The sequence below is a fragment of the Homo sapiens genome, chromosome 8, assembly GCF_000001405.40.
Source record: "Homo sapiens chromosome 8, GRCh38.p14 Primary Assembly".
NCBI lineage: Eukaryota > Metazoa > Chordata > Mammalia > Primates > Hominidae > Homo > Homo sapiens.
In genome coordinates, this window is record NC_000008.11 from 12,391,524 (window position 1) to 12,409,724 (window position 18,201).

The 18,201-nt window shown below is 37.9% G+C and overlaps 1 long non-coding RNA gene and 1 pseudogene across 2 annotated transcripts in view; one reads left to right on the forward strand and one right to left on the reverse strand.

The window, feature by feature from the left end:
* FAM66A (family with sequence similarity 66 member A) overlaps window positions 1-18,201 on the forward strand; it is a 48,983-nt gene that overhangs the window by 29,505 nt on the left and 1,277 nt on the right. The window lies entirely within an intron of this gene.
* Window positions 1,761-8,842, reverse strand: DEFB109A (defensin beta 109A (pseudogene); annotated as a pseudogene). Its single transcript, NR_024044.2, has 2 exons — window positions 8,785-8,842; window positions 1,761-1,891 (listed from the first exon to the last, which is right to left on the reverse strand). The product of NR_024044.2 is annotated as a defensin beta 109A (pseudogene) (transcript).

Sequence of the window (18,201 nt, forward strand, 5' to 3'; positions counted from 1 at the left end):
CCAGTGATATAATCTGTCCTCAAGGCTCACAGCAGTGTGTATCGGCAGCTGATCAGATGGGGATGGCAGGGGAGTGATGTAGACTCTGAAAGATTCCTTGGTTATAAATAGTCCTAGTGTGTTGTGTATTGGATTTCTCAAATGCCAGTTGTAGTAGTAATGAACTCATCACATGGACAGACTCATGGCCTCCTGCTTAGCCAGAATGATGCAAGCAATGGTAACAGTTGTGGTCACTCACAACTTTTCTCCTTCCTGGGTGCTATGTTATTCTACCTGCAGATGCTGTAAAGGACTGTCAGTAGGCCTTCAGCCAGGAGGTGGTGCTTCCAAAAGACTGCCAGCTGTGGTGGTAGTGGTGAGATTTGGACTTGCCTTATGTTACCCATGGGAGGCACTCTGGTGTCTCAGGAAATAGGTGGAGCCATAGAGCTTCTAAAAGTTTCTTCTGTTATTTGTGTTAATCTACCAGGGTAGGTGGTTGAGCAAAGCCAGGTGGGAACTAGGTCAGGTAAGGTGATGCTCTGGCTGTCTATGTGTGGGACAAGCAGTGGCTCCAGTGGGAATTGGAAGGCAGTTCTTGGGCCACTGGAGTAATTTTCCAGAGAGAAGTGAAGCTGTCTCTGCCTCTGTACAAGGAGAGTCCATGTGAAGAATGGGGAGTAGCAGCTTGGTAGTAAGCCCCATCCAGCTCCCACACACTTGGCAAGGCAGGTCTCACACCCACAGTGTTCCACTGGGAGTAGCTAGCTAAGTTTCAAGAAGTCTGAGCTCAGAACTCAAAACTGACCCATACCATAATTCTCCCCTATGGAGACAGCAACTGCAACCTTCAGGCCACACCCTTCCTGATCCACCTGCAGAGCAGGGGCCCCCAGCTCCTGTGCTTGCTGCTGCAGCACACTTCCCACTCACCTCTCAGTTCTGGCCTGGAGAGTTTGTCCCCTGTCAAGATTATATCACACATTTCAGTTGGGAGGTTGTCTCAACCTGTGACCACCATCTGAGTTAGCTGGCAGACTTCTAGGAGGTCCTGTCTGAGGTAGAATCAGAAATGGCTTCCCTCCATTCTACCAGAAACTGGGAATGTGCTGGAGATTCAAAGCACATCCCAATGCCACTCCTCATATACTCACCACTCTTCCCTAAATCAGCCCCAGCGCTGAGTAGGGTTAAGGCCTTCCCTCACGGCCTGGATTGATAGGTTTCCCAGTGGAAGTGTATATCTTAGAGTCAGTTTACCCTCCTGTCACACCCTGGAAACTTACAATTTTCTGCCTAGCTTATGGTGTAAGCTGCATCCTGCTGTTTCTTTCAAATGGTCTGTGGCTTATTTCAATTTTCCTGTTAAATTCCTGTGTAGCTTCTTGAAAGAAAGTTCACAGTGTGAGTTTCTACACACCATTTTCTCTTTCCAAGTGCAAGAGGCAGACTAACAATGCCTTCAATCCACTATCTTGGAAAACAGAAGTAACAGTTTTCTCATTTTTAAAAGTTTTGTTAAGATCTGTTAATGACTCACAAAGAAATAGTACTTGGGTATATTTGAAATTAGTATTTATTCATTTATGTTGATAAGTGAAAATGCAAGACAGTTATCAAGATGGAAGTACTTAATATGTATATTTTAATATTCTTAGATGCAAATAACTTCACTTTTGATGTATTTTTATTTTGTCTCAGTTTCATTTCAACTTAGGTTTAAGGGGTTCTTGATAATCTGACATGATAAGTGGTGTTGGAATTGGCATTAAAATCCACCATGCTCTACAGCACTTCATCCTTCTTCGGCAGGCACCAATTTGATCTTCTACTACTTTGCAGACATCTCTTCTGCAAACACCAGACAAATTGAGACAATGACCTTCCGCAGGACCCAAACCACCTCTTACTGCAGGAAAGAAGATCCAGTGAGATAGTTAGTCCACAAATGGAATGTAAATCCATAAACACTCTTAAGTAACAGAATAAATTTAGTATGAGCATTTTTATGTGGGAGCTCTTGAAATGGTTGCTGCTCATATGTCAGAGACACATGCAGTTTAAGAAAGGTAGCAGTTCCAATCCTGGTTTGGCCCAACAGTCACTGCATTTTTGGTGGGGAAAAGGGATGTGGGAGGAGATGGTACCTCTTCATCTTTTTCTCTGGGTTTTCTGTCAGAAAGGGATGTTGCTTACTCCAGTGGCAAAAAATGCCAGTGTCTTCTGCCAGAGTGGGTTACTGAGGGCCTTGGTGGTTCCACCTTGTGGCTGATACAGATAGTCCCTTTCTGTTTTTGTTTCTAGCCAAAAAAGATGTTTCTGGCATCTCAGGTATGCTGATTTCAGCAGCTGTTTTTTCTATATGGCTAGTTTTTTTTCTTTCACTCTCTCTTTCTCTCTTTTTTTTTTTTTTTTTTTTTTGTCTTCACTGTGTTGTCATAGTTTCTTAAATGGTCCCTTGAACCCTGCCAGGGCTAGTTTGGTTTGTACATAACTATCTATATATTTTTTTCTTGCGGGGAGGGTGTAGAGCTAAAGGCTGGTATATCCTGCTCCTGCTCCCCAAAAGTGACGTTATTCCCCCAAGCTAATATTTCAGGCTTTCAATTTATTCATGCTTTCATCTGTTTAAACATAAGTAGAAATTACTTTTTCTCTCCACATTTAGATTTGATCTATCTACTTTAATTGCTAGTAGTGTCTTAGGCATAGAATAGATTAGTTAGAAAAAAGTGTTTTTGACATTATAAATGATTCTTTCAATTTGTGTCTAAAAGTGGAAAATACTAGAAAGCTTAACATTTATTATTGTATTCAGACCAGTATTTCCTCCAGATGACCTTTATTACAACAAAGATAATTTAAGGAAGATCTCTCTAATGGCAAAGCTGAGGGCTTTGTGTTATTACAATATCCTTCAAATAAAGTGACGGTCTGGTGGAAATAACAAGTAAAGCAAGGATTAGGAAGAAAACAGTTAATACCTTCATTTTGGTCTCACTCTGCATTAAGAGTTTTCATTGTGTTAAGGATTTATTATACATTAAGTAATTTAATGTTCATTTAATAATAAATGGATCCTATTAAATATGATTTTTAAAATTATAATCACATTACTTTTATTCACATCTGTCCACTGATGCCATTCCTAGATGAGAATGGTATCACATTATTTTATTTTTTTTCATTTTGCTACCTCTTTACTTACTTAGGATTATGCTGTATCAAACAATGTATGTGTGGGAGTAATGGATGATTCAGGAATGTATGAGGAGGAGGTTTAAGCTCCTTAACCTTGAACAATTAAAATTAGCAACATAATATTGAAATACATACAGAACACTCAAGTGGTACTTTCAAAATAGTGTATATTTCCTCTGTTTATTTGTAGCTTTTAAACCCAGCTAGAAGCATTCTATTTCCTTTAGGTACCATAGGTCTGAAAGTCTGTAGTGAAAACTACAAGTAGTAAATGATGCTAATTCATGTGCTTCCGCCTGTGGAAGAATTGAATGTCTTAGATAAAAAAAGATGGTGCAATTGGTGTACAAAGTATCTAGAATACAATTTGGTGGTGGTTTTTTCTGTTTCCATAGTAGAGTAACATATATAATATTCCCCTTTCATCAAGTTATTTAAATATGCCTTTGAATGGGGAGAATTGAAAATAATACTGTGAATCCTGGTAAACATTTTAAATTAATGAGAAGAATATTGCCTTTACAAAGTCAAAATTTGTCTGAATACAACGCATATAGCAATTTCATAGCAAAACACTTCCTTCAATCCTATTAAAATCAGAAGGAAAAGAAGAATACCCACTGTCAATGTTGTATTAATATAGTTCTAAAAGTTCTGGACAATGAAATATGTTGTAAGAAGAGAAGTCAGGGGAGACTTGAGCCCATTGTTTTTCCTCTCCTTCCATACCTCCCAAAATACCACTGGAATGTTGTAACATTTTGAAGAATCTATAGCAGTGTCCCAAATCATAGAATAGTATGAATACATCTGAATCTGAGATATCTCCAAAAGATACAAAATATCTGTGATTAGAATGAAAGAAAGATTTAGGCTTTTGGCCATGATTGCAAGTTAGCTGTTCTTAAATGACTGCTGCTATCGAACAAATACATTTTAGAGGATCTCTTTGAAACATTTCTATCCTTGAAAATGGTTAGGGAAGTTCTTAAAATATCTCCTCTTTCAAATACAAAAAATAGTCTGTGAACTGGAGCTTGAGCACTGGGTACTTTGTATTGGCTAGCTGATGGAGGTGGGTGAGGGTTTCCCAGATCTTCTAGGATGATCTGCTATTATCAGTAATGCTAATGGTGGTACTACTGACTCTTGGGCCATCAGAAATTCCAGTTCGTTAATCCTGGAACTTCCATATTGAGATAAAGCTTTGAGTCAGTTTCACAGAGGAAGTTTGGATAATAGCATTCTCATTTCAGACCGTAGAATGATGGCAGATTAAGGAAGAGCAATGAGTTCAGTATTAAAAATGATCAGGTAAGCAAGACAGCATGAATAAAAGTTAATGAAATGAATAGCACATTTAAATCCTTGAAAACTAAATGTGTTGAAATTGTCAATGTGGAGAAATAATTAAGCACCTGTGTATTGATTGTTTAAAGAAACAGTCTACTATTACAAAGATGTAAAATCAATAGTAAAACAATATAGATGATAGAAAAAATGGGCAGATCTGGCTGGGCGTGGTGGCTCATGCCTGTAATTGCAGCACCTTGGGGGGCCGAGGCGGGTAGATCACGAGGCCAGGAGTTCAAGAACAGCATGCCCAAGATGGTGAAAACTTGTCTCTACTAAAAAAAAAAGTATATATATATATAAAAATTAGCTGAACATGGTGGTGGGCACCTGTAGTCCCAGCTGCTCAGGAGGCTGAGGCAGGAGAATCACTTGAACCCGGGAGGTGGAGGTTGCAGTGACCCAAGACTGTACCACTGCATTCCAGCCTGGGCAACAGAGTGAGACTCTGTCTCCAAAAAAACAAAACAAAACACAAAGGCAGGTCTGAATTAAAAAAAAATTTAAAAATAAATGCAAGTTATTAATGATATATTAGATATAGGTAACAGGATAATTAGTAAAGAAAAAAATGCTTAAATGATATACCCAGAATGTAGCATGGAAACACAAGGTCTAACATTTATTTAATTCAAATATGGGGGGAGAGAAGTGTAAGAGGATTCACCGTTTCAAGAGATTCTCAAAAAGAAATTAGGAGAAAGTATAAATCCATTGATTCAAAGAACGTATTTCTAACAGATGATATAAAAATAAATTCACATTAGTTAAATTATAAATTATAAAACATTAAAACTAAACACCAGACCATATAAACATTGAAAAAAGGACAATTTATCATGAAATAATATTTATCTGATTATTATAGTAAAGCAAAAACTAAAAATGGGTAAACTAGTATCAACAAATGTTGAGAGAAAATAACTGTTAGTATAGAATTGGGTACTCAGTAATGCTGTCTTTCAAGAACAAAAATAAAAATATGAAATTGACAGATAAAAACTAAAATTGTTCACTATCAAGAGATCTGCAGCAAATAAAATTTCAAAGGCTATATATCAGGAAGAAAGAATTTAACCCAAAAGCTGATCTCAGAGTCAACTTGGAATTCCATAAATATCACTAAACTGATGATAATAGTAATACTTTCTGACATGGGGGGGATCCTGAAAAGAAGTGAACTTTTACTTTTGTTTAGAATTTAGAAAGTTATAGAAAAATGCTCTTGCCCTGACCAAGAGAATAAGCTGGATAATCTATAGATCATAGATTTCATTTTAAAAGACAGAGCTGAGGTCTCAAAAAAAGCTAATTAACTTAAATTCAGAGTAATGAAAGCCTACTGAAAAAAGAACGGATCCACAGATGATTTGTGTGTACCTGAGTTGCAGCAGCAGAAACAGGAGGAAGCTGCCCTTGATGGAGATAAGAAGGAAACAAGTGAACCTCAAGCAAATGTTGAAAGGCTGAATGTGGGCTTGTGATAGTTTAGCAGCAGTAGGGGCCCAAACACACTCACTCACTCACTAATGCTTTAATGCTTTTCTTTTCTTTTCTTTCTTTCTTTCTTTCTCTTTCTCTTTCTTTCTTTCTTTCTTTCTTTCTTTCTTTCTTTCTTTCTTTCTTTCTTTCTTTCTCTCTTTTCTTTCTTCCTTTTTTTTTTTTTTGACGGAGTCTCACTCTGTCACCCAGGCTAGAGTGCAATGGCACGATCTCGTCTCACTGCAACCTCCGCCTCTAGGGTTCAAGCGATTGTCCTGCCTCAGCCTCCCGAGTAGCTGGAACTACAGGCACGTGCCACCACACCCTGCTAATTTTTTGTATTAGTAGAGACAGGGTTTCACCGTGTTAGCCACTGACCTCGTGATCCCAAAGTACTGGGATTACAGTGCCTCGGCCTCCCAAAATGCTGGGATTACAGGCGTGAGCCACGGCGCCCGGCCCCACTAATTGTTTTTTCATGACCTATCTTGTGTGCTCCTAGGTAAGATCAGATGGAGAGCAGGAGAACTACCTGAGACACTTTTGAGGGACAGGCATGTAGGAACTGCTGCAATTAGAGATCAAAGAAAGGTAGAGGTCGCACTGTGAGAATCGGGGAAAATCCTCTGTTACTGGGGAGTGGGTTGGGGAGCAGAGAGAAACCCCCTTCACTCTCTGTTCTCACAGGTGCATAAGAAGAGAGGCCTGATGAGGTCTGAAGGCAGGGCAGGACAGGTAGCTGAGAGAAGTAGATTCTCTGGTCTTTCACTGAGTGTGAGGCAGCTACTGCCCGAGGTTGGGCAAGGGATGGAAGCCCTGAGAGATTCTTGAGGTGCAGAGATAGAGGCTTGCTGAGGATGAAAGTGGACAGAAAAGCTAAGAGAGGCTCCAATGCTGACCATGGCACTCTGCAAGAAGAGAAAAAATGTGTATGTAGAGGTTTATGAGGGAAAATCGTGAGTTTGGTTTTGGATATATATTACTTTTGAAATCAAGTGTCCAAGTAGATATACCAGTTATGCAGTTGGATAATTTATTTAAGCCTGGAGTTCAAAAGGAGGTCCAAAAGGAGAATTGAAAGGGATGAGACTTGCTGAGCCCCTCCAAAGAGTGTGTGGTGAGGGAGAAGAGAAGAGGACCAGGAACTGAGCTCTGCAGCTCTCCTATAGGAGGTGTGATGCAAAAGATGAGGAAGAAACAAAGGAAGCCGAAGTGGTAGCTCCAGTGAGACAGGCTGAGACTCAAGTGAATGTGCCATCCTGGAAGCCAACTGAAGAAAGTATACTGTGAAGAAGGAAGTGATTATTTGTGTCAAATGCTGCTAATAGGCCGATTAAAGTTGTAGTGAAAAATGATCATTGGATCTAGTAATGTGGAGATTATTCGTAACTTTGACAAAAGTGGTGTCAATATCATGATCGAAAAAGGGAGAAAGAGCCTGATTGGGATATATTTAAGAAACAATGAGAGGAGAGGAATTGAAGACAGAGAGTATGGACAACTATTCTAAGATGTTTTGTTGAAAAGTAGAGCAAAAAATGGGATGACAGCTGGCATCAGAAGAAAAGCAAGGAAATTCTTTTTCTTAGATCAGAAAAACAACAGCATATTTGTATGCTGATGGTAATAATTTACTAGCATCAAAATTAATGACACGGTCATGATATAGTGAACTGCAACAGGAAAATCCCCAGGTACACAGCGAAGAGGGAATATAATACACAAATTTAAAAATTATTTGGATCTCTGAAACATCTGTTTTGATATTAACCTTTCATTCCTGCAATAGTTATTTTAAGCATGTTCTCATTTTCTCTTGTTCAGTGTTGCCAGGTTATTATAAAGTGTATTAGACTTTTTGAAAAACATTTTTAAAAATACTAGTTTTTTCTCATTTGTTTCATTAATTTATATTTTGTATTTATAATTTTCCCTTTATCTTCTTTAGGGTTATTATGCTGTTTTTTTTCCCAGAAGCCCCCAAAATGCATGCTTAGCCCATTAAATTTTAGCCATTTTTGTATCGAAAGTTATGTTACCCATTTCTGTGTGGTTACCTGTAATATACCATGAGCAGCACTTCTTGGTGTCTTTGCTCCTTATTAATTCACTTGTCTGAAGTTCCTTTAACTCTCCTTTCTACTTTTCACTTTCACTTTGCAAATCATTTTTTATTCATAACCGCATAAAACATAATTTATTTTGAAAAGTCTCTCATATAATTTTCACTTATTCTAGGATTATAATTTTTCCGTTTGTCTCTTCGAATAAAACCTTCAGATTTGTCAACACTCATTAAACAGTAGCTCCTATTGATAGGATTCCATCCATCTCTTTTGACCTAGTAAGTGAATATAATAATAGATGCCACAGAAATTCAATCCTGTCAGATCTAACTGCCTACATATAAATTTCCATGTCCCGCAAAGGCATCTCATTGAGGTCACATTCTGTTGTATCTTTACTTTGTATCTTGAGGTGCTTGGTGGGGCATGGAAATTTACATGTAGGCAGTTTCATCTGATAGGATTGAATTTCAGCAGCATCGATTATTATATCCACTCACTAGGTCAAAAGACATGGATGGAATCTTATCAACAGGAGCTACTGCTAAATGAGTCCCTTTTCTATTTTTCCCTATTATAATCCTAGTGAAGCTGTAAATATTAGGTTCTTGAACCCACAGGACTGATTCTAGTATCTTGTCTGGCCAGAGATATAGCCTTCTGATCTGCAGAACCTTATAGTAATCAGCTACCAACTTACCTGGGGATAAGAGAATTTAAAAAAGAAGGAGAATAAGGAGAAGCAAATGGAGTCTCATGGCTGAAGGGCCAGCATCAATGTGGGTTGAGCCTGGAGTCTCTGGGCATCGTGGGTCTAGGCCTTTTTATGATGCTCTCTGAGTCTGTGATTTGTTCTTGGTCAGTAGAGCCTAACGAAAAGAGAATAACTAAATCTCCCACAGGAAACTTCCAGGGACACACAAGTACATAAATGTGGTGATATCTCAATGGATGAGAAAGCAGGTGAATGCTATTTATTTCCCAAAGATTCAGGATGTCTTTATTGTCACCTGCTTTCTTTATTATTTTTGAAATGCACATGCAATAATAATTGATCTCACTTTATACATCTATCGTTTGCCAGGCAATATAGTAGGAACTGAAGTAAAATTGTTATACACAAACAGTACATAATTAATGGATATAGTTTGGCAAGTTTGCACATATATATTATCTTGTTACCACACCAATATCCAGGTAATAATATATCCATCACCTCCAAATGTTTCCTACGTCCCTTTGTTGTTGTTGTTGTTGTTGTCAGAACCCCTAAGATCGACCCTCTTAACAAATTGTTAAATACAAAATACCTCATTGTTAACTATAGGTACTATGTTTTGGAGCCTATCTCTGTAATTGACTCATTTTGTATAGCTTTAACCCTTGAACAATAACTCCCCATATTGCTCTTTCCCCACTCAATAAAACACCAAACTCTTTTAAAGCACATTCTATATAATCCACTTTATGAAGCTTTTCCTAACACTCTTTTATCTGTTCCCCCCCAGTAAAGGGAACTACTAATATAACAATTACCTATTTTGGATTATTGTGTCTTTTACAAACATTCCTTCATGAACCCATTTAACACTTATCTCCCATTATCTTATTATGAAGTAAAATAAAACTTGACGTGATTTTAAAAATGAAATCACAAAAGGGCTTTGTAAAATTATGATGTACCATTGCTTATTTGTAAGAATTCAAGTTACACTAGGGGTTTCTAAAAATCTTTTGTCTTTATTTGTTGCATATTGTAAGCACAGTGTCTTTTCCAGCTATTTGCTTTGGGAAGAAAAGTTAGAGTTACAATGAACAGCATAGGCTATCTTGTCTAGTCACTTACATTAGAGATGAGGAAATGAGCTGAGGGAAAGGAAGAAACTTGCGCAGGATCACCCAGTGATCTAGCGAGGAAGGCGATAGGGACAGCACTAAGGCTTGGTATTCTGAGCCTCATTCTATTTTCTCCTCTTGCCCCTTCTCTGTTTCCTCCTCTCTTCCCCAGCCTTCCAGAAAAACTTTACAGTTCTGCTGCAATGTCTACCTAAGGACATCCAGAGGAGACCTCACTTTTCATTAGACTGCTTTTTTAAGCACTGTCTTGCATTTTCTTCTTCAGTCTTGTTGTATCCCATTTTTGGCTATAAGTAATGCTTCTGCTGTGCTGTTCCATCCAATTAGTTTCTTCTATTTTCATTGAGAGAAAATTAAAACAAAAAACCATTAGTTTATCTAAATTTGGAAGTTTTAAAACTTGATTAGAATTTCCTGGGATATGGATGTAAGACATATATTTTAAAATATTTTTCATTTTCAAAATTAAAAATCAAACCCATATATTTATCCAGGATGACTACTTGATAACTACTAATCAGATGGGTCTTCAGCAATGCCACAAGGATAAACATCTTATAAATCAATTCCCTGGCGTTATGTGCTACTGAGTTAATACAATTTGATATGGTATCACCTTTAAGCAGGCTTTACGGAGTCACACAAAGGAACAGCACAACAGAACCATAGGGTGGAATGTATAGGGAAAGCTGGGATGTAAAACCCAGCCTTGACTCTGACACTTACTCCACTGTTGAGAAAAGTACTTCAGTTCCCAGAGCCTTAATATTTTCCTCTATAAAACAGGAAAAATAGAGCCATATTTAAGGTTTTGTCAAATCTTGTTGCTGAGTGATTTTACAGTGTCTGCAGCTATCCTCTCTGCTAATCATAACAAGGCTAACGAACTGTTCTTTTGTTTAGTTAAAGTTATTTTTGCATTTGTTTACAAATTGTTATTCTTCCCTTCACAGAAAAGGAAACATTTTAAAGGTAATTTATAAAAGGTTAAGAGTCTCTTACATATCAACTCTTCACAATGTGACAGAGTAGCTTAACCCCATCCCTAAGAGTATAGTTTCAGATCAGCCCCAAACCTATGTGGAGTGTGGGATACAGAATATATTTCAAACACATGCAAAGGCACACACACATGCGCGCGCGCGCACACACACACACACACACACAGTATTACCTAAGGCAGAGGTGCAGATGACAATCTTGGATAGACAGCTCAAAACTCTTAGTACTAAAATAATCCTAATAATAATTTTCCTTCCAAAGTTACCACCAACAATCAGATCTCTTAAGGGTTGGTGCCTTAGGTTTTCGAGCCTTGTGTATCTTTTGGCTTTCTTTTTTGGTTGTGTGCTATTTATCTCATAGAAAGAAACCTCTTCTTCATCCTATGCCAGTGCTGTATTGTAGGGGCTTGTTGACATCTTCCTGATATGTAGCAATCCAGTGACTGGCCTCTGGCTTCTTAAGAGCAAGGCCATCACATGCTTTTTTTTTTCTTTGTCTGCTTGTTTCCTTGTAAGGGTCCCACATACAGTGGGCGCTTAACAAAAATTTGATCAACTGAACTCATTTTCTATCTCCGTTCTCTCCACTTCAATCTTTCCCTTTTACTTCTTCCAGATTAGTTTTCCTACAGCAAAATGGGAATTGTCCAAAAACTGCCCTTCATCTTTATAACTTGAAGGATTCATTTACCCTAAGCCGTCCTTTTAAATTTACTATCACAGACTAGATAGAAATGTCTGGGTTCACGAAGAATAGGCATGTGTGCCACCATATTTTCTGTTGAAAACTTTGGAAAGTGTCTTTTAGCAAACAACATGAAGCATAGAATTTGACCATCCCTGACAATGTACAAGGATCATCCACATTCTCACATGTCCATGGCTACTTTCCCACTCCTTCCCCAACCTTGAAATCTTGAATTCAAAAGAAAATATGAGAAGACAGTTTGCCTCATATAAGGCAACAGGTTGCTTAATCTTTCTTGCCTACACACATTCAAGAGCTCCAGAAAATTTTCTGATCTACTTAGAATGCCTGATCATCTTCTTGGGTAAAAGCAATAAGTCTTACACAGAATCACCAAAACCATGTCTGTTCAAGGGGTCTTATACCTGTGATTCATGATTGCATGCTCAATGCAGAAGGGCGTGCTCTGTTGCAGGGTCATATCTGGTCATTGTGTTTAAGTTCTAATTTAGAAGACTAGTTGCTGAGGAGGAAGAGGGAAGGATAATGTTAGGAAATGGAATCAAACTTAAGGGGAAAAGTCCAGTACAAGGGACCAACAGTATTGAGGGGCAATAGGTTGAAGATTTCTTAGATTATTGCAATATTTTCAAGGAGGCCCCACGAATCCTTCCTGGCTGACCCCACCAAAGCTTTGGCATAGCCTTTATGCCAAATGTCTTAGACTAACTAACTTTTCCAAAAGAAAATAGAGGAGTTATGGAGACCAATATTTAATAGAATAATGCCTGATTATTTTGCTTTTGAGGTCTAGTAACTGCTAGTAAACTTGCCTAATTAATTCACATTTAGAAGTAGAGTAAAGAGGGTTTCAACCACTTGAAACACCACTGACTTCATTTCATGTGAGAGTTGCTATGGAGAGCTAATGAACTATGAGGCTGCAGGTCTCTCAGCCAATAGGTCTTCTAGATTTCCTATGTGACTCCCTTTTCTGGTCATAGGCGATTTTGCTTTTGCTTTGAGTGTTATAGCACAATAAGGTGTCAGACACTCTACTCTTACCAAGTCTTACACAAAGTTTATCTTGTTATTTGGTGGAGCTTGGCTCATAAAAACAAAAAAAAAAAAAAACGAGAATGATAAAGAGGAGGACAGCAATCCTCACGGCTGAGGAAAGAAGAAAGCTTGGCTTTATTTCCAGTAGACAGAGAAAACTTCCGTCTGTGGCTCTCTAGCACCAGTGGAATATCTCTGTTTGGATAATAAGTGTCCTTCCATACCTCATTACGCATATTCACAGAGATGTACTATGCACACAAAATAACCTTCATAGGATGACTGAGAGTCCATGTTTTATTGGACACTAAGTTCATTAGAATGATGTGGGTGCACAGTTTTGACCAGAAAACCTTGTTAAATGGGAACATAAGCTACCAATATTTTGGCAAAAGATTAAGGTTTATGAACAAACAACCATTTATGTTAAGTTACAATTAATTAGGCCATGTTGAGAAACCTTTTAGTTTAGTTAATGATTAGACATTTTGTTAGTGAACCTTCCCAGAGTTTACTAGCCCTATTAATCCCCACTTTGCCGCTGGTCTGAACCCCCACAGTGCCTTGTTTATGGTACAGTGCCTACTGCCTTGTATGTTAGATTAGTGAACGTATATTTGCCTCCTCTACTACTGCAGGAGTTTCTTGTTTGCCAGGACAGGGCTATATTCCTCAGAGTTGAGGAGGAGTTGAATCAAGTGGTCATTTATTCTCAAATCCTCTTCATCAAGTGAAGCAAAACAGGACAGTGAAAGGTCACTGCACATGGAAGCAGGAGGTCTGGATTTCAGTTCTAAATCTCTAGATCTATTACTAACTGGAGGTATGGATAGAGTCAGGAAAATTTTCTTCCTTAAGTCTTGATAGCACCTATGTAGGTCCAGATCCGTTGGATCTAGATAAGGGGATTCTCAATAATTACTGTGCATAAATCAACTGAAAGAGTTAGTTTGCAATGCAGATTCTTAGCCCCATTCTATGAAATTTTTACTGTTTTATAAATTGATAAATAATTTTTATTAGACAATGTAATTTTCCTTACTTGCACCAGCATACAAAAATATTGAATAATATTAGCAGCAGAATCTTTCAACAAAATATCTATGTATAGCTATTAAACCACTTTGTTTCACTGCTTTTTATTTTCTTTTATTTATCACTATTGTCTTCATTATTATCGTCACACATTATTGAATACCCATCATGGAGCATATGGCATAAACATTGTTTCTGCTCATAAGGAGTATGTATTCTCTACATGTTTATAAAATTAATGCCTGAATAAGTTTGCTTAAACAAGGCAGAAGTTGATTTCTTTTTCACTTAAAATTAACCTGTAGTTATACCATTCAGGGCTAGTACAGATTCTTTCTTATATCATTAGGGATGCAGGTCCCTTCCAGCTCTTTGCTCTGCTATACTTTAGAAAAGGTCGTAGTTTGGCTGCTAAATTCCCACCTATTATTTCTGAATTCTAGACAGCAGGGAGAAAAAAGGCATGAGAGAATGGCAAAGGAACATCTACCCTTCCTTTTTAAATTTTTTAACCAACCCCCCTTAAAAACACTTTGTTGAGACATGATTACATTCAAAAAGCTGTACCTATTTAATGTGTATATCTCAGTGAGTTTGAGAATAAGGATACATTGTGAAAGCATCACTACCATCAAGATTATAAACATATTCATCACCTCCCAAAGTTCTCCCTCCCATTCTAATTATTATTTTTATTGGTAAGAATAATTAACATAAAATTCACCCTCCTATTATATTTTAAGTATGCAATACAGTATTCATAGCTATAAGCACTAAGCTGTAAATTAGACCTCCTGAACTTATTTATGTGGTATATCTAAAACTTTGTACTGTAATCACACCTACACACTTACCTGCACCACAGCTCCTGGCCAGTCTACCCTCTGCTTCTGAGTTTGTTTTTTTGAGATTTCAAATACAAGTGGAATCATACAGTATTTGTCATTCTGTGTTTGGTTTATTTCACATGACTTCATGCCCTTCAGATGCATCAATGTTGTCACAAATGACAGGGTTTCATTATTATATAATACTGAATAATATTCCATTGTGCATATATATATATATATATGTATAACATTAATTCAGCCATTCATGAATGAATGATAACATGTATGTCTTCTTCATAGATCTTGACTATTGTGAACAGTGTTGAAAGGAACATAGGAGCGCAGATATCTCTTTCACATACTGATTTCAATGACTTCATATATATATATTTATATATATGATATATATATTATATATAAAATAAGTGGGATTGCTGGAACAAAATGGTATTTTTATTGTTAATTTTTGAGAAACCTCCATACTGTTTTCCAAGGTGGCCATACTAATTTACATTCCCACCACCAGTATACAAAGGTTCCCTTTTCTCCACATCCTTACCAACACTTGTTATCATCCATCTTTTTGATAATAGCTATTCTAACAGGTGTGAGGTGATATTTCTTGGTTGTTTTCATTTGCATTCCCGTGATGACTAGAGAGGGTAAGAATTGTTTATATATATGTTGTCCATTTGTATCTCCTTTTTCGACAAATGCTTGCTCATATATCTTTGTTCATTTTTATGTTTTTAATTTTTATTTTAGACACAGAGGATACATGTGCAGGTTTGTTACATGGATGTATTGTGTGCTGCTGAGGTTTACAGTATGAATGATCTCATCACACATGTAGTGAACATAATACCCAATAGGTAGTTTTTCAGGCCTTGCACCCAACCCTCCCTCCTCCCTCTAAGAATCTCCAGTGTCTGTTGTTTCCATATAAGTGAGAGCTGAACAGTGTATAACCCAATGTTTAGCTCTCACTTATACATGAGAATATGTAATATTTGGTTTTCTGCTCCTGCGTACCACACCACACTGGGCTAATTTTTATATTTTTGGTAAAGATGGGGTAGCTTCAGCATGTTGGCCAGGCTGGTCTTGAATTCCTGAGTTCATGCGATCCACCCACCTCACAAAGTGCTGACATAACAGGCATGACCCAGTGCACCTGGCTTTTCTGAACTTTTTTAGCTTATATTAGGTTTGTCTGTTCTAGAATTTTGTATACATTTATTTATATTATAGGACACTTTTTAGCTTAGCTTTCCCCACTCGGGGTTAGAAAGATTATATTGATCCATGATCATGATGTCGATTCATAGAGTTGATTATTCCCATTTATTGATAAATATTACTCCATAATATGCATATAATTTATCAATTTCCTCTCAATAGACATTTGAGCTGTTCCCAGGCTTCAGCTATTGTTAATAGAACTCAAGGACACATTTTTAAAAGAAAAAATTTCAACCCAAAATGTCCTTTCCTTTTGGCTCTCCAATATTGTGTCAGGGTTATATATTTGTTGTCTTGAAAATCCAATTACATTGAACAGGAGGTGTCTCTAGAATCAAGGTTCAGTATATGGTGGTCTGGCTGTGTCCTGGAATGTAGCCCTTATTAGTTTTATTGAGCATTTTCCTATATAAATTGAAATCAAGTTGAAGACTCATTTTTCCACAGTAGGACAAATAGAACAGTTTAGGACTTTGGAGAGATAGCAACTTGCTGCTTGCCTGTGCAACCCACCTCAAAAGATACAACTCCTCCAACTTTTGATTTCTGGTGACTTCTCCAAACAATTAGATGTGAATTGACCTTATTCCCTTACATTACTACATGTCGATATTCTGCACCTGGCCAAATACAGTATAAAACTGATGAGCATACATTTCTTTTAGTTTCATATTTTCTATTTAAAGCTACTCTCTTTGGCTGGGCACTATGGCTCATGACTGTAATCCCAGCAGTTTGGAAGGCCAAGATAGGTGGATCACTTGAGGCCAGGGGTTTGAGACCTGCCTGACTAACATGATGAAAGCTGTCTTCCTGAAAAATACAAAAATTTTCTGGGTGTGGTGGCACGTGCCTGTAATCCCAGCTACTCAGGAGGCTGAGGCAGGAGAATCACTTGAACCCAGGAGGCAGAAGATGCAGTGAGCCAAGATCCCACCTCTGCATTCCATCCTGGGTGACAGAATTAACCTCCATCTCAAAAAAATAAAAAGCTAATCTATACTTTTCTTTTGGTGCATTATTAGAACATAGAAGGCAATAAGGCAAAACTATTGTGGGTATATTAGTGCGTATCTGTAGCACCTAGCACAGTGCCTAGCCCATAACTTGTGTTGAAAATTAAGAGAACCTTCTTCATGACAGATCATTTGGAGAACATGTTATGGGTGTGGGAGAAAAAGATTCCTAACTCTCCACCCCAGAAATAATTTTGCTGATACAAAAATCAGCCAGACATGGTGGCACAGGCCTATAATCTCAGCTACTTAGGAGGATGAGTTTGAGGATAAGGATACATTGTGAAAAAGGTGGGAAAATCACTTGAACACAGGAGGCAGAGATTGCAGTGAGCCAAGAGTGCCCCACTGCACTCCAGCCTAGGCAACAGAGAAAGACTCTGTCTGAAAGAAAAAAAAAAGTTGTTGCTATATAGCACATAATTTCATTGTCATCTCATTTAAAATTGAATAGCACATTTGGGTTGAATTCTTGTGCCTGCAGATACATTTGCTTCTGGCTTAAAATCACTGGCTGTAGGAGGAAACTCCAGCAGAGGGCATCGTAAGGATTTCATAGTGTCTATGGTCATCTTGGTAATTCCTCAGATAATTCCTGGCAATTCTATTAGGTCTTGAACTTCACTTACTTCTTACATGTTTAATAAAAAGAAGTTCAAAACATTGCCATGGCTGTTGAATTCCCACAGGCTTGTCTTCCCTTTAAAATTCATCACATGGTTTGTACTCTTTTGCAGATATAATACGTAAGTTTGCAGGTGGATGCTTTCAGCCAATAAGTTCAAAAGTACTGCTACAAGGGCCAGGCATGGTGGCTCACACCAGTAATCCCAACCCTTTGGGAGGCCAAAGCAGGTGGATCACGGTATCAGGAAACTGAGACCATCCTAGCCAACATGGTGAAACCCCATCTGTACTAAAAATACAAAAATTAGCTGAGTGTGGTAGTGTGTGCCTGTCGTCCCAGCTACTCAGGAGGCCGAGGCAGGAGGATTGCTTGAACCCGGGAGGCAGAGGTTGCAGTGAGCTGAGATTGCGCCATTGCAGCACAGCCTGGTTACAGAGTGAGATTCCGTCCCCCACCGCCAAAAAAAAAAAAAAAAGTACGCTACATGGACATCCATTGTTCCAGCATCTCTGCCATAATAGCGGAGGAATTATAGAGAATGTCTGTTAATTTCTTTAACTCCAAATTTGTGTTATGTCCCTTGGTCTCCTGTCATACCATAAATTGTATTATTCATAAAATGGACAATTTGTCTACAGTTATTTCTTCTCAGTATGCTACATCTCTTTAGAATTTAAACATAGAGTGTCTCCCAACCTGAAATTGAAAAACCAGAAAAATGTTTTCGGACACCTTTTATTTCCAGCTGTTTTTATGTC